Source organism: Homo sapiens, chromosome 10, assembly GCF_000001405.40.
Source record: "Homo sapiens chromosome 10, GRCh38.p14 Primary Assembly".
Classification (NCBI taxonomy): Eukaryota; Metazoa; Chordata; class Mammalia; order Primates; family Hominidae; genus Homo; species Homo sapiens.
The window spans coordinates 117,197,100-117,223,799 of NC_000010.11; the positions used below are offsets into that span (position 1 = coordinate 117,197,100).

At 50.1% G+C, this 26,700-nt stretch overlaps 1 protein-coding gene across 1 annotated transcript, besides 7 other annotated features; it reads left to right on the forward strand.

Moving 5' to 3' along the window:
• KCNK18 (potassium two pore domain channel subfamily K member 18) lies at positions 390-13,200 on the forward strand. The gene is made up of 3 exons (NM_181840.1): positions 390-612; positions 4,060-4,188; positions 12,398-13,200. Exons 1-3 carry the CDS (start codon positions 390-392, stop codon positions 13,198-13,200), a joined length of 1,155 nt encoding a protein of 384 aa, NP_862823.1.
• Positions 18,754-19,271: an enhancer, noted in NCBI's record as "H3K4me1 hESC enhancer chr10:118975364-118975881 (GRCh37/hg19 assembly coordinates)". NCBI's record gives its function as "activates a minimal SCP1, AML or CMV promoter by ChIP-STARR-seq in naive H9 embryonic stem cells {active_cell/tissue: H9 hESC(naive)}" and the evidence as "EXISTENCE:reporter gene assay evidence [ECO:0000049][PMID:30033119]".
• Positions 19,518-19,577: a silencer, noted in NCBI's record as "silent region_2858". NCBI's record gives its function as "represses an Ori minimal core promoter by ATAC-STARR-seq in GM12878 lymphoblastoid cells {active_cell/tissue: GM12878}" and the evidence as "EXISTENCE:reporter gene assay evidence [ECO:0000049][PMID:35858748]".
• Positions 19,768-19,817: an enhancer, noted in NCBI's record as "active region_4097". NCBI's record gives its function as "activates an Ori minimal core promoter by ATAC-STARR-seq in GM12878 lymphoblastoid cells {active_cell/tissue: GM12878}" and the evidence as "EXISTENCE:reporter gene assay evidence [ECO:0000049][PMID:35858748]".
• Positions 19,768-20,306: a biological region, named in NCBI's record as "H3K4me1 hESC enhancer GRCh37_chr10:118976399-118976916".
• Positions 19,789-20,306: an enhancer, noted in NCBI's record as "H3K4me1 hESC enhancer chr10:118976399-118976916 (GRCh37/hg19 assembly coordinates)". NCBI's record gives its function as "activates a minimal SCP1, AML or CMV promoter by ChIP-STARR-seq in primed H9 embryonic stem cells {active_cell/tissue: H9 hESC(primed)}" and the evidence as "EXISTENCE:reporter gene assay evidence [ECO:0000049][PMID:30033119]".
• Positions 19,848-19,987: an enhancer, noted in NCBI's record as "active region_4098". NCBI's record gives its function as "activates an Ori minimal core promoter by ATAC-STARR-seq in GM12878 lymphoblastoid cells {active_cell/tissue: GM12878}" and the evidence as "EXISTENCE:reporter gene assay evidence [ECO:0000049][PMID:35858748]".
• Positions 25,603-26,103: an enhancer, noted in NCBI's record as "H3K4me1 hESC enhancer chr10:118982213-118982713 (GRCh37/hg19 assembly coordinates)". NCBI's record gives its function as "activates a minimal SCP1, AML or CMV promoter by ChIP-STARR-seq in primed H9 embryonic stem cells {active_cell/tissue: H9 hESC(primed)}" and the evidence as "EXISTENCE:reporter gene assay evidence [ECO:0000049][PMID:30033119]".

The window sequence follows — 26,700 nt, forward strand, 5'->3', positions numbered from 1 at the left end:
GCTCTCAGGAAAGAATCACTTGACTAAACGCCAAAGATCAGGTTTGGGATCTGCAATTCAAAACTGCAGTTTGGGCATAGAAAAGATTAAACGTAGCACAAAACAACAACCACACTATCCTCCCAAAGCCCCTTCCAGGCAGCTCCAGGGCCGGCCCAGCGGATCAATAGCAATCTGGGGTGCTAGGGAGGGCGCCATCTGAGTAGTTCGGAAGAACTGAACATGATGAGTTGCCGGCTGCTTCCTGAGTCCTTGGGGAAGCACACGCACCATCCACTTAGCACTGGAGCCTGGCTGTTCTCCGGGCACTCCTACCCCATCTTCCTGGCGGGGCTTAGATGCTCCTGCCTCTTCCACCAGCTCCTCTTGCCCTGCATGCTTCAGGGACGATGGAGGTCTCGGGGCACCCCCAGGCCAGGAGATGCTGCCCAGAGGCCCTGGGAAAGCTCTTCCCTGGCCTCTGCTTCCTCTGCTTTCTGGTGACCTACGCCCTGGTGGGTGCTGTGGTCTTCTCTGCCATTGAGGACGGCCAGGTCCTGGTGGCAGCAGATGATGGAGAGTTTGAGAAGTTCTTGGAGGAGCTCTGCAGAATCTTGAACTGCAGTGAAACAGGTAGGTGCCTCACCTGGACAGGGTGGGCCTTTTCTCCGTGGTGGCAGCAGTCCCCCAAGAGCAGAGGGCTGCCTTCTAGGAGGCTGGGTCTGGGAGCTGCCTGCCTGGATCCTCCTCATGCCTGGGCACTTTAAGCGAGTAACTTCTTTCTGAACCTCTGTTTTCTCCTCTGAAAAGTGGGGAGACTAACTGCCTCTCAGGGTTGCTGTGAAGAATGCAGGAAAGGCCCTGAGCACCCTGAGGTGCTCAGGAAAGACCAGCTCCCCTTCCTGTGCCTCAGCACCCAGCCCCATCCAGACCAGTGGCCTCAGGGGACGATGGATTACTGGGAATTTGGTGGGGTGGGGTGCATGGGTGAGCAAATCTGGGGCTGGGGTTGGGGGGCTAGCTTGCTTTTCAGAACTATGTCTGCCTGACCCAGGATTCAGTTTGCAGGGATGAGAATTTAGGGAACAACCCAAATTGGATTTAAATTCCAGCAGGAGCACCTGCCACCCACGCCCCCACTTCCTGTTTCAAACTCCTTTTCTGCTGTCTGGCTCAGCGGAGTGGGGAGGTGTTGTGAGAAGACCTGGGGGGAGGGGTGGGGGTCCTGGCTGTTGTCCTGGCTGCTCTCCCAGCTTGCTCTGCAATCCGTGGAGGCAAAGCTTTGTTCTCTCTGGGTCTCAGTCTGCGGGAGAGAAGGGGACCCCCAATCTCAGACTTGGTGGTCACAGGGACCCTGTGAGAAGCAGAGGAGACAAGGAACATTCTGGCTCTTGGAAGACAGAAGTCACTTTATAGTGTCCTCATTGCATTTTCTTCATATTTAGTCACTTGTTTCTACTCTGCTGTGTTCCTCGAAGGAAGCTTGTTATTGTATTCAACAGAGCAAGATAAAACAAGGGAGAGTAGATAAATGAAAAACAAAGGAAAACCAGACACTAAAAGTCAGGAGAAGAATGGGGTGCAGGGAGCCCCTCCCCTCCCACTCTGGTGTGGGGGCTCCTTCCACAGCCCAGACCTTGATTTGGGAACAGGTGCAGCTCCCAGAGACAAGAGGCCAGTCCAGGGAGGCAGAGTCTCCTGTCTGTGGAGGGTCCCACTCCCTGCATCCTTGCCAGACAGACGCCAGCCTGCTCAGTGGACCTGGGAGATTGCTGCCAAAGGGACACTGCACCATCGCAGGGCCTAGACTACCAGCAAGTTCAAGGCTCTCTAAGCCAGCAACACATCAGAATCAACCAGGGAGACTGCCTAGAGTACACATCCCCAGGCTCTTCTCCAAACCCACTTAATCAGGATCTCCAGGGCTGGGCTGGGAATCTTAAAGTTTCAAGGATAAGGCCAAGCATGGTGGCTCATGCCCATAATCCTAGCATTTTGGGAGGCCAAGGTGGGAGAATCATTTGAGGCCAGGAGTTTGAGACTAGGCCTGGGCAACAAGGTGAGACCCTGTCTCTATAAAAAATTAAAAAATTTAGTCAGATGAGGTGGCGTGCACTTGTAGTCCCAGCTACTTGGGAGGCTGAGGCAGGAGGATTGCTTGAGCCTACGAGTTTGAGGCTACAGTGAGCCGTGATTGTGCCATTGCACTCCAGCCTGGATGACAGAGCCAGAGATGTCTCAAAAATAAATAAGTAAAAATAAAGTTTATCAGGTGATTCCAATGCACAGCAGGGTATGGGAACACAGAGCTGGTCCCACTCCATTTTGTACCGATTTTCACTGGAGATTAAAATGTTCCATAAGGGTTAGTTGCATGTAGACCCTGTGGCAAACACTTCACACATTATCTCACCTAATCCTCACAAGAAGCCTCACAAGAAAACAACAAAAAGTTGTCCTTCTTTTACAGATTAGGAAATTGAGGCCTTGGGAGGTTAAGCAATTTGTCCAAGTTCACAAACTAGAAAAATGGAACCAGGGACTTAAACCCATGTATCTGGATTCCAGAGCCTGAACCTTTCACCACCATCTCAGGCTGTCTCTCTGATGGGGAAACTGAGGCTCAGAAAGCAGCCTCTTGTCCACAGTTACAGAACTTATCAGGGTTAGAGCTGGGTCTAGAATCGATGTGTGTAGACTCCCAGGCTGGTGCCAATTAAAAGGAGTAGAGACTTCCTGCTGCATGCCAGGTTCAGTGCCATTCTCTTAAAGCCGAACAAGTCTAGCAGGTGGCCTCTGGGTCCCAAAGCCCACTGGCGGCTCAGGCCAATCGAGCCATTCAGGAACCTCTCTGGGAAACCAGGGTTCCCAACCCTGCTCTGTTAGCCTTGGAACCAATGTGTAGGAAGTCAAGTTTTCCCAGCTCTGTAGGAGACACTCACAGGTAGCTGGTGCCCAAAGATCACAGTATGATGGTATGATGATCAAACTCCATCAAGTTTTTATTTTTATTTTTCTAGATGGAGACTCACTCTGTCACTCAGGCTGGGATGCAGTGGCACGATCTTGGCTCACTGCAACCTCCACTCCCCAGGTTCAAGCAATTCTCCTGCCTCAGCCTCCTGAGTAGCTGGGACCACAGGTGTGTGCCACCACACCCGGCTAATTTTTGTATTTTTAGTAGAGACAGGGTTTCACCATGTTGGCCAGGCTGGTCTTGAACTCCTGACCTCAAATGATCCGCCCACCTTAGCCCTCCAAAGTGTTGCAATTATAGGCGTGAGCCATCGTGCCCGGCAAACTCCATCAAGCGTAATGACCTCCAGGAGTGGGTATGATTTGCATCTGTGTAACAGCTTGCTTTTCCTAAAAGCCTTTTGCTTTTAGTACTTGAGAACCCTGTGTGAGAGGCAGAGCAGAAGTTATCTTCCTTTGAAAGATGATAGAGGCGGGGCGCGGTGGCTCACGCCTATAATCCCAGCCCTTTGGGAGGCTGAGGCAGGTGGATCACAAGGTCAAGAAATTGAGACCATCCTGGCCAATGAGGTGAAACCCCGTCTCAACTAAATATACAAAAATTAGCTGGGCATGGGTGTGGTAGTACGCCCCTGTAGTCTCAGCTACGCAGGAGGCTGAAGCAAGAGGATTGCTTGAACCAGGGAGGTGGAGGTTGCAGCGAGCCGAGATCACACCACTGCACTCCAGCCTGGCAACAGAGCAAGACTCTTGTCTCAAGAAAAAAAAAAAACAGATGAAAGAAATGGCGGTTCAGAAAATTAAAAGGCAAAGACTACACAGCAATGCCAGGGCTAAGCTCTGGTGGGACCCCCATGGGCCTCTCTGTTAGGTGCTCTTCTCACAGGGCTAAGTGGCCTCCTTATCTCCATAGGGACTGAAGGCAGGACCCAGGCTGCAGAAATATTTTAAAGGAGGACTCCGACCACCGAGCTTTGGTGTTGATACTGACCACAAGGCAAAGGGGCTGCTGGTCCTTGGGGAAGACTATCCCTTTCACTGGGGCGGGGCTTGTCTTTACCAGCAGAACCTTTTCCTCAAACTCTTGGTCATGTCTTTCTCCAGTGGTGGAAGACAGAAAACAGGATCTCCAGGGGCATCTGCAGAAGGTGAAGCCTCAGTGGTTTAACAGGACCACACACTGGTCCTTCCTGAGCTCGCTCTTTTTCTGCTGCACGGTGTTCAGCACCGTGGGTAAGTGCAAAGCCACAGTCCCCCTCACGGTGGCCCTGTGAAGGGTGGGTTTCTGGGTGGCAAAGGACACTGGAATTGGGGTGTGGAGATGGCCCTCCTCTCCCTCTCTTCTTCCCTCCCTTCCTCAAATCTATATTGCACACCTACAAATAGCAGCAGCTGCGCTGGCCGACACCTTTGCACTGAAGATGCACCAGGCCCTGTTCTAAGACCTTTATGCTGATTAGCTCATCTAATCCTCACCAAGAGGTGGGTGCTGTTATTGTTCCCACTCCAGCAGGTCCGTCAGTTTCAAAAAGTCGCACAGTTCATGTGCGTTTGAACCCAGCCACTTGGGTCTAGACCCAGCACCCTGCTGCCTCTATGTATAACTTTCTATGCACCTGGCACATAGAAACTGGGAGGGAGATGCTTCCTCGTGCTTATGAGCAAAACGTTGGTTTACTGGCCCCTTTAAGGACATGACCATTGTGGCTGGAGGGCAGAGAATGATCAGGAGAGTGGTAGGGGATGCTGCAGGAGAGTTAGGCCTCCTGGGCTGGGGGCGTGATGCCACTGGGTCAGCAGTAACTAAGGTCCCTCTGGTGATTAAGGGCTCACTCTGAGCTGGCTGGCCCATCCCCAGCTTCCCTTCTGGTGGGGCAGCAGTGGGGCCAGGTTGGAGGGGCCAAACCAGGCCAGGCAGGAGACACAGGAGGCGATGGAGCTGCCTTCAGCCACAGGGCCAGAGCTCTTGGGTCAGAGCCCTCACCAGGAGCGTGGCCCATCACTCAGCCCCTGCCCCTCTTGGCTGGCAAAAGGGACTGTGGGCCCTCTCCTCCTTCGAGAGAGCAAGTGCCCATCCCTAGGAGGACCTGGCCCACAGGGGTTGCAGAGAGAGGCTGGGGCCCCTCATGCTGAAGGTCAGGATGGAGCACAGTGGCCAGCCTGGGTTGGAGCTGTGGAATCTCCAGCAAGGGACGTGGCCCCTCTGAGCCTTGTACTGGGACCCAAAAGCACTTCTAGACCTGCCTCTCAGGGTCAGCTGATGACTATGTATGTAAGTGGCAGCCAGGATGCCTTCAGCAGTGACTAACAGAAAACCCAACTCGCCTGGCTTAAACCGCAAGGAGAATGTCACCTTCCAAGTAAGAAGTCCAGTGTGAGGACAGCTCTAGGCTGATATGCAGGTCATGCCCAGTGCCCATTCGCAGTCATGGCATTGGGCATCAGGTTTTCTCCATCCTTCTGCCCACTGGGCCACAAGAGGCCACCAAGGTCCACAGTCCATTCAAGCATAACTGTGTCTTATACAGAAAGGGCTGCTGTCTCTCTGCATGGTTCATCAGCCATGACGATGTCTTCCCAGGAGCCACCCACTGGGCCTCCCAGCCGCCTCTAAGCTGGTCCCAGGCAAGGGGATTGGAGCACCAGGATGACTAAGACCAATCGGATCTACTCCTAAATCAGCTGGGGGAGCAGTGGGTCTGCAGGGAAGAAAGGAGGGAATGGCTGCTGGGTGGGCAACCGGTGTCTGCTGCACCCAGCTTCAGAAATAGCCACACAGCCCCAGGAGGGCTCTCACAGCCCCCACGTGGTTTCTCCCATTTGCCTGAATGCTTTTTTTTTTTTTTTTTTTTTTGAGATGGAGTCTTGCTGGAGTGCAGTGGCACAATCTTGGCTCACTGCAACCTCTGCTTCCCTGGTTCAAGTGATTCTTGTGTCTCAGTCCCCAAGTAGCTGGGATTACAGGCATGTACCACCACGCTTGGCTAATTTTAGTATTTTTACTAGAGACGGGGGTTTCACCATGTTAGCCAGGCTGGTCTTGAACTCCTGACCTCAGGTGATCTGCCCATCTCGGCCTCCCAAAATGCTGGGATTAGAGGCGTGAGACACCGCGCCTGGCCTTGTTCACCTGAATGCTGATGCAGGCAGGGATGGGTGAGGGACAGAAAGAATAAGGACAGCAGCTACACCACTCAGCACGTGCTGGATGTGGGGTCCAGGTGCTTTCGGAGCCTTTTCTTGTGCAATTCTCACCACAACCCTGCAAGGTAAGTGCTGTGACTATCCCATTCCACAGGCTCTAAGAGGGAATCACTGTGAGGGAGTCACAGGCAGGGCTGAGGTCAAACCTCAAAGCTGGACTTTCCAGGGGAACCCACAGCTCAGGGGATGCTTTGAGGAAACAATAGGCCCAGGAGAGCAGTAACTCCAAGAAAGACACGGAACTGTGCAAAGGGGCTAGAAGTTATGAAGTTTGTCTTTTTGTTTTCCTCAAGCTTTTTGAGACAGAGTCTTGCTCTGTCGCCCAGACTGGAGTGCAATGGTGCCATCTCAGCTCACTGCAACCTCCGCCTCCCAGGTTCAAGCAATTTTCCTGTCTCGGTCTCCCGAGTAGCTGAGATTACAGGCACATGCCATGCATGGCTAATTTTTGTAGTTTTAGTAGAGATGGGGTTTCATCATATTGGTCAGTGTGGTCTTGAACTCCTGACCTCAGGTGATCCATCCGTCTCGGCCTTCCAAAGTGCTGGGATTATAGGCGTGAGCCACTGCACCCGGCCATGCCTGGCTAATTTTTGTATTTTTGTAGAAATGGGGTTTCACCATGTTGGCCAGGCTGGTCTTGAACTACTGACTTCAGGTGATCTACCTGCCTCGGCCTCCCAAAGTTCTGGGATTATACGCTGATCCACCATGCCTAGCCTCCTCAAGAATTTAGGTTGGTCCAGGTGCCCTGGCTTATGCCTGTAATCCCAGCACTTTGGGAGGATCAGGTGAGAGTTGGAGACCAGTCTGGGAAATACAATGAGACCTCATCTCTACAAAAAATAAAAAAATCAGCTGGGCGTGGTGACGTGCACCTGTAGTCCCTGCTACTCAGGAGGCTGAGGTGGGAGCATCACTTGAGCCCTGGAGGTTGAGACTGCAGTGAGCCATGATCGCGCCACTGCACTCCAGCCTGGGTGACAAGAGTTGGCCTGGATGGCAGAGTCTCAAAAAAAAAAAAAAAAGAAAAAAGAAAAAAACCTCAGATGCATCTGAGGCAGGATTTCTCAACCTCAGCACTATCAGCTTCTTGCATGGGATAATTCTCTGCAGAGGAGGCTCCTGTGCAATGTAGGATGTTGAGCAGCATCTCTGGCCTCCACCCACCAGATGCAATAGCACTTTCCCCACTGTCCCTACCCATTATGACAGCCACAATAGTCTCCAGGCATTGCCAAATTTCCTCTGGGGGGCAAAATTGCCCGCTATTGAGAAATGATCTATTGCAATGGTTGTCAAAATGTGGTCCCTGAGTAACATCGACATCACTGGGGAACTTGATAGAAATGCAAATTAATTCTCAGGAGCCATTCTAGACCTACTGAGCCAGAAACCATGGCTGTGGGACCCAGCAATCTGTAGTTTAGAAAGTTCTCCATGTGATTCTGATGTGTGCTAATGTTTGAGAAGCGTGCCCTGGCTGCATGTCAGAGTCACCTGCAGAGCTTTTGCAAGCTCCCATGTGTGGACCCTGCCCTAGAACAAACAGAATCCCTAGGGACCAGGCCCAGACATCAGTATTTTCCAGGGCCCTCCAGGTGATTCTAGTGGGAGTCCAGGCTGTGAGTCACTGATCTAATGGAAATGCATTAGCTTGGCTTAAATTCCAAGAAGGCAATGCTACTGCCCATTGTACGAGTCAATTAGGACATCATGCCGCCCAGTAATTACAAACAACTGGAAGAGGATGTTGGGGAATGTTCCGCACTGTCCATAATCAATAACGGTGTTTGAAAGTCTCTCTGGTAATACTGCTTCCTGCCCTGCATCTCTGGGTCATCTGAAATGCACCTGGCCTTAATGCTAAGCACAGGATACCTGACAGCTGTGAGGCCGGTCAATCCCGTCATTCCCAACTGGGTCATCCCTCTTGGATTAGAAAGGAAAGTGCATGAGCTGTTAAGTACTCACAGGCCAAGTGCAGTGAACTGATTGTATCAAAATATATGAATGCATTCTAAGAAATAATGAGTTCCATTATGCATTTTGGCATTCAGTAATTAGAATAGTTAATACATTCCCTTTGTGGGGGTTGTGTGCTCTCTGAGACCTGCTTCCTTTAAACTTTTTCAGGAATGTGACATATTGCATATTTTGGATTGCAAAAGTATCTCACCCAGAGGCAGCCAAAAAGGCTTTGTTTATAATCCTGTAAACCCACCTTTGCCAAAGACAGCAGTAGATTCTGGTGGATTCACAGTGCCTGCTCTGTGCTCAAATCCCAGCTCCTTTCAGGCACTCCAATCCAAACCATCCTCCTGTCCTGCTGAGATTTCTGCCAGTCCCTACAGGTCTCTCCTCTCAGCTCCCACCTCAGCCAAAGCCCCCTTTATCTCTCACCTGGGCAGGAAGCATAGCATCCCCACTCATTGTCCTGCGTCTATCTGAAGCCCTACAATTTACTGTCTGTGATGCAGTCAGGATGATTTTTTCAAGATGCAAACCAAGTCAGAAGTGGTGGCTCACTCCTGTAAGCCCAGCACTTTGGGGGGCTGAGGTGGGCAGATCACTTGAGGTCAGGGGTTCGAGGCCAGCCTGGCCAACATGGTGAAACCTTGTCTCTACTAAAAATACAAAAATTAACCAGGCATGGTGGTGGGTGCCTGTAGTCCCAGCTACTCAGGAGGCTGAGGCAAGAGAATCTCTTGAACCCAGGAGGTGGAGGTTGCAGTAAGCCAAGGTCGTGCACGCCTCTTCACTCCAGCCTGGGCAACAGAGCAAGATCTCATCTTAAAAAAAAAAGATACAAACCTGATTTTATTAGTTTCTTGTGGCTGCTGTAATAAATTCCCACAAACTCAGTGGCTTGAAGCAATAGAAATTTATTCTGTCACAATCTGGAGGCCAGAAATTCGAAATCAGTTTTACTGATTTCAAAAATGAAGGTGTTGGCAGAGCCATACTCCCTCTAAGGCTCTAGGAGAGGACCCTTCCTTGCCTCTTCCTTGGCAGCTTCTGGTGGCTGCCAGCATCCCCTGGCTCGTGGCCACATCACTCTTGTCTCTGCCTCTGAGGTCATATTACCTCCTCTTCTCTGTGTAAAATATCTTGCTCAGCCTCTCCCTTATCAGGACACTTGTAATGGTACCTAGGGCCACACACACAATCCAGGATAACTTCCTCATCTTGAGATCCTTAATCACATCGACAAAGACCCACTTACCAAATAAGGTAGCATTGACAGATTCTAGGAGTTAGGACTTGGCTATATTTGGGGGCTGTCATTTTTCAGCCTTCCACACTGATCAAGGCACTCCCCCATCTGCCATGGAAGCCCTTAGATGCTGCCCACCTCCCGGCCTCCCCTTGCTCCCCTCCCCTACCTCCCTGCACACTAGACACACTGGCCTTCTCTTGGTTCCTTAAAGCTGGGTGACAGCTACACTCAGGGTGACACCTTGGTGAAAAGTTAGAAAACCATATCCCTCACTAGGCAGACACAGCCCAGTGCCCCGAGCCCTGAGCTCCAAGCTTGGTAAGTGCACGGAGGCTAGGTTTCAGCTCCCAGTCACCCCCTTGGTATATGTGCAGTACACAAGTTGCCCCACTGTCACTGTATGGATAACCCTTTGTTGAACCCGCCATAGGGTCTTTGCACAGGCTGCTTCCTCTCTCTTCACCTGGCTAGTTTGTGACCCCTTCCCAACATCAGCTCAAAAATCCCCTCACAGGAAAAATCTTTCCTGGGCCCAAATCCAGGATGGGTGCCTTTGTTTGTTTTTGTTGAGACAGAGTCTCGCTCCGTTGCCCAGGCTGGAGTACAGTAGCACGATCTCAGCTCACTGCAACCTCCGCCCCCTGGGTTCAAGTGATTCTCATGCCTCAGCCTCCCAAGTAGCTGGGATTACAGGTATGCGCCATCACACCTGGCCAATTTTTGTATTTTTAGTAGAGACAGGGTTTTGCCACGTTGGCCAGGCTGGTCTTGAACTCCTGACCTCATATGATCTGTCCGCCTTGGCCCCTCAAATTGCTGGGATTACAGGTGTGAGCCATTGCGCATGGCTTAGGATAGGTGCCTTTGTTCTAATCATTCATGGAATGGTCTGCTCTTTCACTTCCTGTTATTGATCTCCATTTGTAATTACATACTCATTAGTGTGGTTTTTAAAATTAATGTCTGCCTCTTTTACCAAACCAGAGGCTCAGAGAGATCGTATCCCATATCTACTTTGCTCAGCACTATGCCCACAGTGCATGCAGTAAGCACTCAATACTGAATGTATGCATGCATGAATGGATGAATGAATGCACATAGTTAACTGACGCTGCCATCAAATGGTACTTAGTGGAACCAGCCAGAGTGGCATGGAGTGCTCTGGAATGGATGCAAACTGATGAGACTCTTTGAGAGCCACAGCTCCCTCCCCTACACTTGGGACCCTGGTGAGGGTAGGCAACCTGAATGCCCACCTGCTCTTGGAGGGCAGAGCCTGAGGCCAAAGTTTGCCACAGGGAGCTGCACTTCTGGAGGAAGTTGGGGCTTAGCCAGCTGAGGAGTTGCCTTCAGATTAATTTACATAATTGGGCTGGGTTTTTCTGTATTAATCATCCTTTATGACATCAAAAATTAAACACAGGCATTAAATACAAAAGCTTTGTCCTCTGCTCGAATTGATGCTTGCCCGCTCCAGAAGATCTAGCCACCTGCGCTGTGGGGTTTGAGGTCTGTCTGCTCCTGCCCCTCTGTAGGTGCAAGGGGAGGGGAGGGGCTCCCGACGGGGATGGAGACCTCAGCGCATCCCTTCCTTTGCTTGGCTGCCTGGTTGTCTCTGATTGAATGGTCCTGCCCCCGGATGCTCCTGAGGGTGACAGCACTGGTTGGGGACCTGAGAGTCCTGTGGATTTGACCCCAACTCCACTGTGTATCACATGTATGCTCACGGCCAAGCTACTTCGTTTCTCTGTGCTTCAGTTTCCCCACCTGTGGATGGTGATAACAATACCTCCCTATGAAGGCTGACTGACACCCAGCCCACAGGAAGTGCTCACTAGGCAGCTAAGGTCTTGAGGGTGAGGACACCACCAGTTATTAATCGCGCACTGTGTGTCAAGCACGGGCCTCATGTAATCCTCCCAGCTAGTCAATACGCAAAGTAGGTATTGTCATCCCCATCTTACAGATAAAAAAAACCTGAAAATATGAGCAGTCAAGTAATATTATCATAAATAGCAGAGCTGGGATTCAAAGCAAGGTCAGTCAGAACCTAGATGCTGGGAGGCTAATGGCTTCACTGTCATTTAGGAACATGTTTGTCTAATCTGCTAAGCCACAAATGGCTCTGAGGGCAATTGTATTTTATTCATCTTCCATCTTTCTGTTTTTCCTAACACTGTGCACACTGCTGAGCACACCATGGGAACACAATAAGTGCCTCTTAGAAACAAAGAGCTCAGTCCTCTTATGGAGGACAAGGGTAGCTTTTTTTTTTTTTTGAGATGGAGTCTCACTCTTGTCCCCTAGGCTGGAGTGCAATGGCACAATCTTGGCTCACTGCAACCTCCACCTCCCGGCTTCAAGTGATTCTCCTGCCTCAACCGCCTGAGAAGCTGGGACTACAGGCGCCCTACACCATGCCCAGCTAATTTTTCTATTTTTAGTTGAGATAGGGTTTCACTATATTGGCCAGGCTGGTCTTGAACTCCTGACCTCAGGTGACCCGCCCATCTTGGCCTCCCAAAGTGCTGGAATTACAGGCATGAACCACCACGCCCAGCCAAGGGTGGCTTCTTAAAAGCCAGCACCTTCACAGAGGATAAAGGTGGCATTGGATATGATTACAAAGCCACCCATCCTCTCTCACTTGTACTCATCCTGTCCTTCCAGGTCAGCTGAGCCCTTCCTTTGGGGGGTGCTCAGAAATGGCCAGAACAGAATCAAAGGCAATCTGTTCACCCCAAACCTGTGCTGGTCCCCTGCCAAGGACATTTCAAATCAAAGACCTGGATATCAGTTGCTCCTTATCCTAAAGGGAAGCTGTTTCACTCCTTTCCCTCCCACCAAAGCAAGCCTAATGCCAGACCAGTGGCTGAATGCTTTGAGATGAGTATTTTCAAAAACAATGTGTAAAATGTCATGCCAAGGAGGGGAGATGGCAGAAGGTCTCTTTAAAGCTTTTGGGGGGAAAAAGGGAAGGGGCCAGATGCAAACTCTAAGCTCCATCTTCTTTTTCAGGCTATGGCTACATCTACCCCGTCACCAGGCTTGGCAAGTACTTGTGCATGCTCTATGCTCTCTTTGGTATCCCCCTGATGTTCCTCGTTCTCACGGACACAGGCGACATCCTGGCAACCATCTTATCTACATCTTATAATCGGTTCCGAAAATTCCCTTTCTTTACCCGCCCCCTCCTCTCCAAGTGGTGCCCCAAATCTCTCTTCAAGAAAAAACCGGACCCCAAGCCCGCAGATGAAGCTGTCCCTCAGATCATCATCAGTGCTGAAGAGCTTCCAGGCCCCAAACTTGGCACATGTCCTTCACGCCCAAGCTGCAGCATGGAGCTGTTTGAGAGATCTCATGCGCTAGAGAAACAGAACACACTGCAACTGCCCCCACAAGCCATGGAGAGGAGTAACTCGTGTCCCGAACTGGTGTTGGGAAGACTCTCATACTCCATCATCAGCAACCTGGATGAAGTTGGACAGCAGGTGGAGAGGTTGGACATCCCCCTCCCCATCATTGCCCTTATTGTTTTTGCCTACATTTCCTGTGCAGCTGCCATCCTCCCCTTCTGGGAGACACAGTTGGATTTCGAGAATGCCTTCTATTTCTGCTTTGTCACACTCACCACCATTGGGTTTGGGGATACTGTTTTAGAACACCCTAACTTCTTCCTGTTCTTCTCCATTTATATCATCGTTGGAATGGAGATTGTGTTCATTGCTTTCAAGTTGGTGCAAAACAGGCTGATTGACATATACAAAAATGTTATGCTATTCTTTGCAAAAGGGAAGTTTTACCACCTTGTTAAAAAGTGAAGGTTTCATTATCTCTCAGGTGACAGACACTGGCTGAGCTGGTTTTCTTGTGTTGTCTTTCAGGGTCATGCAGCCTGTCACCTGAGACCTTCAGTCTTGGAGACAAATCCCTTATGAGAGCCAAGTTCAGTCTTGAGGCCCTGCAGAAATTTGGCCAATGCCCTTTGTATCAGGGCATTAGGAAAAAAAAACTATCACCATTCCCCAAAGTCCAATTAATTTATCTGTCTTCCTTTTTTAAAGCATCACCTCATGTAGATGAAGCAACCTTATGGATGTCCCTGCTTTTCTTGAAATATGAGAAACAAAACACCTTTATTCTTGGAAGTTGTACTTTTAGTTAAATTAAAATCTTCCTGAGCTGTTCTTTGTTACCTGAAAAAGAACTAGTGCGAACAACCTCTTTTCTTGAATGACTGCATGAACGCATGTAAGACCAGCCCAATCCCAGCCCCTGTAAAATACATAGATGCCGGGTGTCACCAAAATGACAAAGTAGAAGCAATCTGGCTTCACTGTCCTCCATAGAAAACTAAAAACAATGATCTAGTGCCAAGATGATAATTACCACTATCCCAGAACTCAAAATGAGGCTGTGACAAACCCTGGGGCCATAGAAAAGTGAAAAACTGTGAACAGAAGGTAGTAAAATGGACTCCTCTGTGACATCCCTTCCCCAAACTGTAAGTCACCACGCAGAAAAGTTCCCTGGACATTTCTACACTGGGAAAAATAAGATCAAGGCAGCCAGCCAGCTTCCTCATCATCTTGACTACCTACTCAGGAAAGTTTTCCTGCCTCAACCCACAGGAAGAATCACGAATACCTATAGGGTGAGGGACCCCTGAAAGCCTCTGGAGTCACATAGACAGTGGAGGTGGGGCTAGCAGCCCAGTGCGTGAAACTCTGGGGCTACTCTTCATCTCAGACAAACAAGACACTGAATCAGAGAGGTGGTTCAGCAGCATCACATTGTAAGAGGCACTCTCCACAGTCCCTCTGGGCATGAACCCCTAGTCAGCCTCCCCACAGAGCTGCAGAATCCCCTTTGATGCCCTTTATCTGTGAAAAGGCTGAGCTTTGAACTTTTGCAAGAGTCATGACAAACCTGGGCTTAGGGTGTTATTTAGTGCTGAAAAGGAGGCAGTGATCTAGAGCTAAAGGAATCAATAGGCCAAGTGCACAGAACATCTAAACACACATATGCTAAAGAGACCAAACTAACCCAGGCAGCAAAGATGAATAAATAACTAAACCTTCAATGTGAAGACATATGTGTACATGCATAAGAAACTGCTAACACCAGGAACCATGACTTCTTCAAATGGACAAAGCAAGGAGCCAGTGAGTGACTGACCCAAGCAAGATGGCAATCTGTGAGCTCTCAGATCAGGAATTCAAAATAGCAGTCTTGAGGAAACTCAGCAAACTCCAAGGTAACACAGAAAAGCAATTCAGAAACTTACCAGAGGAATTTAACAAAGAGATTAAAATAATTTTTAAAATATCAAACAAAAATCTTGGAACTGAGAAGTACGTTAGCTGAACTAAAAAACACTTCACAAAGTCTCAACAACAGAACAGACCAAGCAGAAGAAATAATTAATGAACTCAAAGACAGGCTATTTGAAAATACACAATCAGAGGAGAGAAAACAAAACAGAATGAAAGGAGTGAAGAATGTCTACAAAATCTAGAAGATAGCCTCAGAAGAGCAAATCTAGAAGTACTGGCTTTCAAGAGGGAATTGAGAAAGAGTGAGGGGGCAGAAGTCTTGTTCAAAGAAATAATAACTGTAACCTTTCCAAGTCTAGAGAAAAATATAAATATGCCAGGTACAGGAAAGTCAAAAATCACCAAAGAGATTTAACCCAAATAAAACTACCCCAAAGCATAGAATAATCAGACTCTCAAAGGTCAAGGACAAAGAGAAGATGCTAAAAGCAGCAAGAGAAAAGAAGCAAATAACATATAAAGGAGCTTTGATTCATCTGGCAACAGACTTCTCAGCAGAAAGCATACACACCCAGAGTAGGAAGGATGACATATTCAAAGTGCTGAAGATAAAAAAGACCTGTCGACTGAGAATACTGTACCCAGCAAAATGATCCTTCAAACATGAAAGAGTGATAAAGATTTTCCCAGACAAAAGCTGAGGAAATTCATAATCACCAGAACTGTCTTACAGAATTGCTAAAGGGAGTTTTTAATCTGGAAGAAAAGAACATTAATGTGCAACAAAGACATCATCTGAAGGTACAAAACTCACTGGTAAAAGTAAATACACAGACAAATTCAGAATACCCTTATACTGTAATTGTGGTGTGTAAACCATTCATTTCTCTAGTATGAAGACTAAAAGACTAAAAGACAAATATATCAAAAATAATAATTAGAACAACTTAAGAGATAGGCAATATAAAAAGATGTAAATTAAGACAATAAATAGTCAGAATATAGGGGAATGGAGTTAAAGTGTAGAGGTTTTTAGTTTTTTATTTCTTTTCTTTGTGACCAAAATTGTTATCTATTCAAATAAGATGTTTTTTGTAAACCTCATGGTAACCACAAAGCAACCACAAAACCTAACATAGATACACTAAAAATAAAAAACAAGGAATTAAAACATACTACCAGGGAAAAATCACTTGAAATACACTGATGCTGCAGAGTGGAACTGACACCTGTATTCACAGGAGCCTGAGATATTTCCAGTGGCCACATTCTGTATAGATCACTTTTCTCACTAATTAGAGTATGAATGGTGCCTCCGGAATGAGTTGGCCTCTGAAAACGTTGATGCCTAAATGAATGGATTATTACACAGGAATGCTGGCACTTGTTAGGTAGACACAATCCTAGGCTGTTCATGGATGGGTTGGCATGTGAATGGGCTGGTCTGTGTAGTAGATGCTGCAGGTGCCCTACCCATATGTCTTAGCACTCCAACTCCCTTTGCCTGATCATTTTCTCTGGCCATGAAAGCATGGACATGTGCAGGGGTAGCTAGAAGTGCCAAGGAGTTAATGCTTCTGGGAGCAGCCCTCAATCAATGACTGATAGAAGCTGGTGGATATATGGTGCCCAGCTCCCTTTCCCCTCCCATGGAATAACTCTGTGGCATGTTCGCTACTGACACTGTCTCCCCAAGTTCCCCAGTGGACTTGAGCCCCAGTTGCTCATCAGCACACCCTGTATTGACCCCCTTCATCTCCCTGTCTCACTTCTTCACTCCTTTACTTGGGCTTCCTGAGATCACCTCCAAAAGAACCACTCACTCATATCCTTGTTTCAGGGTCACTCCTGGGGACTCCAGCCTGGGAGAAGATGTAAACAAGTCAGTATGTGAACTGGTTGGCACACACATGGAATAGCACAAGTCTTTTACTATTTCCCTTGTGGGTTATTAGAAATTTTGTTTTGTTTTGTTTGCTTTGAGATGAAGTCTCACTCTGTCACCCAGGCTGGAGTGCAATGGTGCAATCTCGGCTCACTGCAACCTCCACCTCCCAGGTTCAAGCAATTCTCCTTGCCTCAGCCTCCCAAGTAGCTGGGATTACAGGTGTGCGTCACCACACCTGGCTAATTTTTGTATTTTTAGTAGAGGTTTTGCCATGTTGGCCAGGCTGGTCTTGAGTTCCTGATCTCAGGTGATCTGCCTGCTTCGGCCTCCCAGAGTGCTGGGATTATAGGCATGAGCCACTGCGCCCAGCCTAGACATGTTTTATGACTAGATCTTGCTTGAGTCTTGCAAAAATCACTCTGTGTTCTATGATTAGCAAAATCAATCAGTTCCTGGGTAAATGGTGAACATTGCTACAGGGTATAGCATACAAATTGCAAGAACCAAGAAAAAATGCCAGGAGGTTCCCATTTGAAAATAAAATAAGCACCTGTCTTTTAAATCTTTATTCATCTTAGGTCTTGGCCAATGCCCAGGCTATCTCTCAGAGGGGTCTTTCTGGATCTTTCCCCTCTTCCCTACAACTAGCAGGCTTTCTGCCCCTCCAACCCTTGAAGACCTACCTCTGGCAATGGAATTGACAAGGTATAGGCAAGAACCAGTGAAAGACACAGAGCACCAATAGTGGGATTTCAGGGAGTAGTCATAGGCACTAAGGTTTTTGTGGAGTTTCTCAGACCACATTAGCCCAATTAAGGTATAGAAAAACCTTGAACCCAGATGCAATCAACACTGGCCACTCAAGTAGGAGCCCATGATCGCACTGAAGGGCTGTTCTTTCAGTTCAACAAACATTCACTGAATGCTGGCTATCTTCCAGGCTCAGAGTATCCAAAGATGAATCAGCAGCATCTTCAGAAACACAGAGGTAAATTCATTACAAGTGGTACTGAACCTCTCAGCCACTCCCTTCTTAAGGCAATAGCAATTCCTGTTCAAATGCAAACATGGTGGTTGTCAGGGATGCACATTATGCAAATTAAAGGTCATGATTATTTGCTTATTTGCTAGCTGGAATTCTTCCATGGTTCTAAGGAAATGGTCCATTGTGCCCCCCTGCCCCTTGTTTCTTGCCCCAACTTGAGCTGTTTACTTCTGGGCCCCTGTGCAGACATGTGAATTTATTCCTTCAAGACTTTGCTCAGTGGTTCTCAACCTTGCCTGCGCACTGACACCTGGGGAGTGTCAGATATTTCATGGCATCCCCCTCCCTGCCGTCTTAGTGAGTGCAGGCTGCTATAACAAATTATCATAGACCGGGTGACTTCAACAACTCAAATGTATTTCTCATGGTTCTGGGGACTGGAAGTCTGAGGTCAGAAAGCAAGAATAGTTGGGTTCTTGGTGAGGGTCCTCTTCCTGGGAAATGCACAGAGAGTGAGGCATAAAGAGAGAAAAAGACAGAGGCCAAGACAGAGGCAGAGACACAGGCAGAGGCAGAGGCAGATCTTGTGCTTCTTTCTCTTTTTATAAGGGCATTAATCCTATTATGAGGGTTCCAACCTCATGATGTCATCTACAGCTAATCACCTCCCAAAAGTCCCACCTTCTCATACCATCACACTGGGGTTAGGGTTTTAACAAATCAATTTTGGGGAGACACAGACATTTAGTCCAAAGCACCCTCTAGGATTCCGACATTCGTCTGGGTGCCACTTGCACACTGAGGTTTTGAAAGGTCTCCCAGGTTACCCAACATGTGGTCAGAATTGAGAACCAGGGCACTAGTGGCTCTCCCAGCCTGAGGTGTCCTTCTCCCTTCCAGGCTAGGCTCACATGTCACCTCTGCTAGGTGGCATCCCCCAACTCCTGAAAGCGGTCACCCTTGTGTGCTCCATGCTCCCACTCCATCCCCTGCTACCTCTTCCTCTGTTACAGGATAACAATGTTCTCACCTGTCCTCTCCTCTCCAGACTCTGAGCTGCCCAAATAAAATGATCGTGCCTTTTTTCATCCTTATTGCTTTTTTTCCCTTTTAATCCTTGAGTCTCTACTCTGCAGCATCTCCCACATAAGGGAGGACGCTGGGTGGGACTTAGGTGCACAGAAACACCAAGGAGAGCAGCCAGCGTTTGCTGCACACCTACTTTGCGCCAGGTCCTGGGCTGAGCCTTGCGTGTGCCTCTCATCCAATGCTCCCTGCAGCCTCCCTGTGGGGACAGTTTGTGAGGACAGTAGCCTGGGAGAAGCATGAGGGCTGGGGTCCTGGGCAGGGATGCTGAAGCGGGAAAGGCCCTCCAGCCAGCGAGGCCTCCCCCAAACTGGAACTGACCCTGTCCTAATAAGAGGTAGTATTTCGTCTTCTCCAAGCTCGGTTTCTCTTGGTGATCCCAGGGGGCTGCTTCTTGCCTGGCTTGGACTCACTTGGGGGATCATCGTCAACTGCCCAGCATCACTTGGCTCCATGGGAGGGCCTGCGGGGTCTCAGGTTGGCTAAAGTCCACCTCCGGGAAGCGGGGGTCCTGGAAATTGCCCCGGAAGCTCCCAGACTCAGGAGGGGAGGGGATTTTGACGGTCACCCGCTGCATCTCCTACTTATGGGTGCAGAAGTGCCCTGCTCCGCTTGCACATCTCATCTCCAGCCTCCCGGTACCTGGACCAAAGCCTTTGGTGCGACTCACCCAGCCGCTGTGGGGGTCGTCCCGTTCAGTGGTCCACCAGCCCTGAATGCTGTATTGTTAGTGCCCTCCCCGCCTTTAGAATACGAAGAAACTGAAGATCAGGGACGGTAAGCGATTTTGTTCAAGATGACACAGCCAAAGAGATGCAGAGGGGGCGTCGAGGCGGAAGAGGGGTTCCTCGGGGAGGCCCAATCCCCGGGGACGATAGGGGCTGCGAGAGTGGGCGCTGTCAGAAGAGGGGCAGCTAGTCCAGGCCAGGCGCCCCAGGATGGGGTAGTGGCTCAGAGGTCGCGGGGTGCTGGAGCTGATGGAGGAATCCTTCCGCACACGCCCGCGGCCCCTCCGCTCCCGCGAGGTCTTGCGGCCGGGCTGCGCTTTCCCAAGCGGCCACCAGGTGGCGCGGCCAGACCGCGCAGACCCCAAGCTTTGCGCCAGCAGGTGGCGCGTCCCAAGCTCCCCGCCTTCGCCGCGAGGAAGGGTCCTCCCGGGAGCGGACATCTCCAGCCGCGGTCCCCGGGGAGGGCTCCCCCTTCCGACTCCAGTCTTCCACCGTGGACTCCTGAGAGGGGACGCCTCGGACTCTTGTTCTCACCTCCGTCCCCGGGACGGGCACTTCGCACCGCTGTCCCCGCAATCCCAAGTCCTGCCAAACTTGTCGCAGCATGCCCACTAGCTTCACCCTGGCTGCCTCTTTCCTGACCCCACAGCCTCCCTGCGGGCCTGCGGACAGACGGGGTGCAGCTCACAAGCGACGCCTGGGAGCTCCTCGTGTCCGGATGTCGCGTCCCACCTGGAGCCCCCTGCCTCGGACGCTCAGTAGCCAGGTCCAAGAATGGCCGGGATGCTGGGGCTGGGGCTTTGCTTCCTGTCTCCAACACTGCGGTGATTCTCAGCTGGGGTCGAGAACCCCTGCCTTCACCGGAGCGCTGGGGCCAGGCGAGCCCAGACAGGAAGGGGATTGGAAGGGCCTCGCGCTTCCTAAGAGGGCCAGTGAGAGAGAGGGTCTCGGACGCAGGAGACCTGGCCGCACCCCTGCCCTGCTGGGTAACCTCACGCAAGTCGAGCTCGCTCCTGGGTCTGTCCCGGGATGGGGAGGGGATGGGCAGGGGATGGGCCAAGGCAGCCCCTATGGTCCTGCCTTGTCACCAAAAGAGCAGCTGCTACTTTCATGGGCGGGAAGTAGGTGTGGCCTGTCCTTCTGGGGCACTGGCATGTGGGCTGCTGAATGCACTGCTCTGTGCTGGGCGCTGCCTCTCCGTAGGAGCGTGCCTGGCAAATGGGAGGACGGGAAGGAAGCCAATATTTAATGAGCAACTAATATGTGCAGGCTGTGTAGCCACGTCACACATTTAACCTTCTCAGGTGTGCCCGTGTGGTTCTCAGTGATCTGCCCGTCGCTCTGGCACCGTGCTGGCATGTGGTGGGCATTCGGTAAACATCGGTGCACGAATGAGTCCCTGTCACCAATCTCTGGAGTAGGTTAATATTGGTGCCTGGGTCAGAGGCTTTGCCCCTGAAGGCTTGTGCCGGAGCCCTGCTCAGAACTGCAGGAAACTTCCCTGACACTGTCCCTTCCCCAGTTCAGGTGGGCCAGGCTAAACCCCTGAAGGTGGTGCTTCAGACAGCCCCTGTGGTCCTGCCTTGTCACCAAAAGAGTAGCTGCTACTTTCATGGGTGGGAAGTAGGGGGTGATCTGACCTCCCAGGGCAGAGATATCCACTGACTCCCAGCAAGGGAGCTGTTAAGGGCAGAGATGATTTCTGATTTCCGGGAAGCTGAGGAAGCTTAGGCTCAGAGTTTCTTGCTTACTTGAAATCTCATGACCGGAAGAAACCCTGGCAATGCGCTCGCATGATTGTAGGTTTCTGTATTTGTTGGCATTGTGAAATGTGTAATTTGTTATTTCTCATTCTAAATGAATATTCATGTTCATACCTAATTTTGAATGGGCAATTTCGTAGTTTCTTTTTTTCCTTAAAGAGAGCCCCTCACATTGCATAGGCGGCAACCAGACCTGACCCACTCCTGGCCAAGAGGCATTAAACAGGAAGAAATGCTGTCCCTGGGACAGTCCCTTAAGCCAGCTGCCTGTTGCCTTTTCCAACATCCTCCCCAGGACGGAGGTCCAGCCACATTTCCATCAGGCACCAGGCCCCCTCCTGCCACATCAGCCCATCCCCACCTGGTAAAATTAACTTTAGTGTTACCGGATGGAGAGTCTTGACTGTGAGTTGTCCAGGTTCTTGGTGCGTTGAACAAAGCATTGAACAAAATGCACAAACAAAGCAACAAGAGAACGAAGCAGCCAAGGCACAGAAGGCAAGCTGAAGCAAGCGGCTCAAGAGCCCCGATTACAATGGCTTTTAGGGTTTTTATTAAGCTAGAAGAATTTGGTAACACCCCTACGTGCCCCTTAGAGGCTTCCAGTTGGTTACACCCTGTGAAGGATTGGCCCTCGACCAATCAGAGGCTGAAGTGAAGACTTCTGTCTTGTTATCAGAGCGAGCACGTGGCCTGGATGCTGCCTAATCTTGCCCAGAACCGGCTGCACCTGCTGTTCTCTTGTTTATGCCTTAAACCTTAGTTACCATAATTCCCTATTCTCCTGCCTTATTAGCATGGAGTCACAAACTAACAAGGGCTAGAAAGTGGGCTTGGCAGGGATACAGCAAAACTCCATGCCCTAGTTTCCACCATGGGTACAGCTGCCCCTTGTCCAGAGGTGTCCACAGCGTAGGTACCTGGTGGATGGGTCAAGGGGAAGGAAGTCAATGGCCAGTCCAGAAGCTTTCCCCACAGCGTCTTTTGATGTTGTGCTGACCGGGAAGTGGTGTTGTGCCCTGGTGGTCAAGACCTTTGCCTGTGGAGACATGCTGCCTGGCCAGCCTCCATGCTGGGCAGGTTTCTTGACTGACACGGAAGTGAAGTAGATAGTACCTACCTCAAAGGGTGGTTGTGAGGCCCAAATGAGATAATACATGTAAATCCTGTGGCAGTGTGCCCAGCTGTGCAAGATCTTAAAAAAAAAAAAAAAAGCCGGACGCGGTGGCTTACGCCTATAATCCCAGCACTTTGGGAGGCCAAGGTGGGCGGATTGCGAGGTCAGGGTATCGAGACCATCCTGGTTAACATGGTGAAACCCTGTCTCTACTAAAAATACAAAAAAAAAAAAAAATTAGCCAGGCGTGGTTGCAGGCGCCTGTAGTCCCAGCTACTCGGGAGGCTGAGGCAGGGGAATGGTGTGAAACCTGGAGGCGGAGCTTGCAGTGAGCCTAGATCACGCCACTGCACTCCAGCCTGGGCAACAGAGAGAGACTCCGTCTCAAAAAAAAAAACAAAAAAAACCCAAGCCATCCCCATTACTATGTTTTTTGTTTTTTGTTTGTTTTTGAAACTAGGTCTCACTCTGTCACCAGGCTGGAGTGCAGTGGTGTGATCATGGCTTACTGCAGCCTTGACCTCCTGGGCTCAAACGATCCTCCTGCCTCAGCCTCCTCAGTAGCTGGGACTACAGGCATGCCTGGCTAATTTTTCAAACTTTTTGTAGAGACAGGGTCCCATTATGTTGCCCAGGCTGATCTAAAACTCCTGGGTGCAAGGGATCCTCCCACCTCAGCCTCCCTAGTAGCTGGGAATACAGGCGTGCACCACCATGCCTGGCTACTTTTTGTATTTTTTGTAGAGATGGAGGTCTCGTTATGTTGCCCAGGCTGGTCTTGAACTCCTGGGCTCAAGTGATCCTCTTGCTTCAGCCTTCCAATGTGCTGGGATTACAGGTGTGAGCCACTGCACCTGGCCCCCATTACTGTTTAGGAGGCAGATAATGGGATGGCTCAGCTTTCTCCAGCACTCAGCTCATTGCCTTTGATGGAGGAAGAAGAGGTAAATTTCAAGGTAAGAACCTCAGGCCTGGTGGACTTAGGAGGGGTTTGCAAGATATGCTCAGTGTGGCCACCACTGAGGCCCCAGTCTTTGGGCAGAGGTAGTCTAGGCAGCCCCCACCCAGGTGGGGCACCCACAGCAGCCGGCAGTCACCACATGTTGGATGGGAGACTTTCTTCTGCAGCTCCTGCCTTGATGCTCTGGGCATGACTATCTTTCTTCCCCAGCCTGTGCTTGTCACATTCTCCTGGCTTCCCAGGCACCACATTTGCCTGGTGCTCACTCTCATCTCCCTCACCTACCCCTCCTTGTTGGCCCGTGTGTTCCATGGCTTATACCTTGGATACTCGGTCTCTTGCTCATTGATATGGTTCGACTGTGTCCCCACCCAAATCTCCTCTTGAATTGTAGCTCTCATAATTCCCACGTGATGTAGGAGGGACCCGCTGGGAGATGATTGAATCATGGGGGCAGTTTCCCCTATACTGTTCTAGTGATAGTGAATAAGTCTCATGAGATCAGATGGTTTTATAAGGAGAAACCCCTTTCGCTTGGTTCTCATTCTCTCTCTTGCCTTCTGCCATGATTGTGAGGCCGCCCCCGCCACTTAGACCTGTGAGTCCATTAAATCTCTTTTTCTTTACAAATTGCCTAGTCTCGGGTATGTCTTTATCAGCAGCGTGAAAATGGGTGAATACATCTGTCTCTGCACCCTCACCATGGTCTCATCACTCTGGTGGATAAAAAGGCTGCCTCCCTCCCTGAGTTCTCCCCAGAACTCCGGACTCCCAAACTCCTCCTGGGCACCTCTAACCCGACACATCCCAAAGCAAGCGCCCCTCCTGCCATCTCCGTGAGTGGCAGCTCCAGCAGCCCCACCCGGACTGTCTCCATTCAGCTTTCTCCTCCTGCTCTAACTTGAGGGGCGCGTGTGCAACTGTAGCCCCCCAGTCTTGCCTGTACCTCCCAGAGATGCTGATGCAGCCAGTTTCAGGTGGTGGAGCTGGGCATTTGTTTATTTTAGAAGCTCCCAGGGGACTCTGGTTATGATTTCATTCATTGACTCATTCACAGGCCTTTGTTCAGCGACTAGTGCCAGACACGGGAGTGTTATCTCTAAGGAGTGACCCGATGCACAGGCACCTGGTGGCTACTAATGCATGCTTGCAGGATGACAGTGCAGCCAATCGAGGTGCTGACCCAGACCCCTCTCCCCACAGACTGAGAGCCAATAAGACGTGCTGGGTGGAGGCTGGCGAGGTTGAGCGGCAGCCCCTGTGTTCTCTGCCCCACCTGGCTCTCTGAAAGCCAGGCACATGCTATGGCTGGCAGAGGGCTGGCCAGGGTCGAGTAGCCTGGGCAGATTGGTGGTTGCCATGGTGACTGATGTGCATCTCCATGCAGCAGAAAACTTTGAAGTTGACTTGGATGTGGGACAACAAAGGGCACTTCCATCTTGGATGCAAATTGTGGCTCCTTTTCATCCTCCCTGGCCCTCTACTCCTCTGCTTTTATTCTTGTCATTAGATCAGGAAATTAAAACCTTTCAAATGCTGTACATTCCAAACATAGGCAATTACAGACCCTGTCTCAGAGGCAAGTCCCTCCTTTAGCCTCTTCAAAAAGTAGTTGCATTTGTAGAAAAACAGAGATGACTGTGCAAAGGCCGTCAGCATTGCCTGTGTGTCTCTTCCAACAAATATTTATTTATGCAAAAAATGTATGTTGATCCAACTAATCTGTATCTGTCCAACCGATATTTATTGGGCATCTATATGTGCCAGGACTGACTGAGGTGGATGCTGGGGATGCAGTGTGCTATAAGACCAACCAGGTCTTTGCTCTCACATAGTGTATGGTCAGGACTGTCGCTCTGTGCCTCAGTTTCTCCAGTGTATAAGCCAGTGGAAGTAGCCCAGGCATTTTCATGTGGCGTTTTCTGAAACCCATGGGCAGATCGGAGTCTCTTATCCCTGATTTGGTCTGAGTAGCTTTGCTTTGCTATGTTTTATATTTGGCTTCTTATAATGTTTTGTTTGAATACAGAAGTCCATAATTAAAGACAGAAAGGGTGGGGTAGAACTGAACACCACTGACCAAGGATTCCCTAAGGTTTTTCCAGGTGGAATGTTCTGTGATGTTGCCAGCTAAGAGGACTGTAGGTTCTCTGGGCTGCTAGGCCACAACAAGGGGGCTGATATACGGGACCGGGTCAGTTGCATTTAGGATGTAAACCTGCCTGAGATGATTGACATCTGCCTTCATTTTAAATAATGCAACAAGAGAGCAAATCCTGCCATGTTTCTCACTGAGGTGACCAAGGGCTTCATTTCCAAAGGCATCTTCCCTCTCACACTCCGGATCCTACCTGGGCCTCAAGGCCCCACCATCACCCCTTGCTCCCAGAGCTCCTTCAGGGCCAGCAGCCTTCAGGGACGATGCCCTTTTCCGGGATGCCCCTGCCCCAGCTGCTCTTGATGCACCCACTCTGTGATGATGTGGGGTCCTGGCCTCTCTCTCCAGCTGGGCTGTGTGTTCTTCAAGCGTGAGGCTTGTTGAAGGGATGTTAGGTGAGGTACCGGTTGGTCTTCCTTATTCCCTGAAATGCAGGTGGGAGAAGCTAGTGGCAGCCCAGTGGGCCAGCCCTCTGCCACCTTTCCCTCCCTTCTCAGCACCCTCCCTCCTTCCTTCTCAACAGGTGACTGAGGGACACCAGGCTCTGATGACAAAGACATCCTGACTCTTTTCCAAAAGCCACATACAATGTCTGGGCAGGGAAACAAGAAGTGGGACCGTGCATTTTATGGATAATCTTTTGTTTTGAAAGCTTCAGCAAAGCACTTATTGACACAGCCAAATCAGACAACTGTCATGTGCCGCCTGCTGCCTGGGCCTGCTCCAGGTCCCAGCTGTCACTCTCCCCTAGGCTGAGCTGTCTTGTGTTTGTTTCTTTGGGATGCACATTCCTTCTCTCCCTGAAGGCTAAATTCATGCAAAGAGCAAGGAAAGCTTCGGGGCTGCAGAGCAGCTTGTATCAAAACACCCTGAGCTGTCTGAAGCCGCCCACCCTGGGGGCTGTTGGAATTTTGTTCTCTTCTCTTGTTGTCATGGGGCCTACACAGAGATCAGAGGCACCTTAGGAGCCAAGGCTGTGTCTTCCACTGCATTCCACAAGGCCCTTCAGGCCCTCTGTTAACTCACCCATCTAAGAGGTGAATGGCCCCCATTCTCCAGAATCATGGAGGAATCCCAGGACAGTGAGGACCACACACAGATGGCCTTCCAGGAGACTGGACAGCTGGGCTGACTGCAAGATGGCTGGCTCCTGGCCTTCTGTGGTGGGTGGATACTGATGCCCTTGGCCTTCAGGTGGCCTGAAGATGCCAGCCCCATTTTGCTCAGAACCCAAGGCCTCAAAATTCCCTCTTTGCACCCCTCCTTTGAGTCCACTCCCATCCTCTTTGAGCCTGAGCTGTTTGTTCTGAGCTGTGTTTCTCCCTCTTCAGGTCCACCCCACCTACCCCTGCCAGGGGA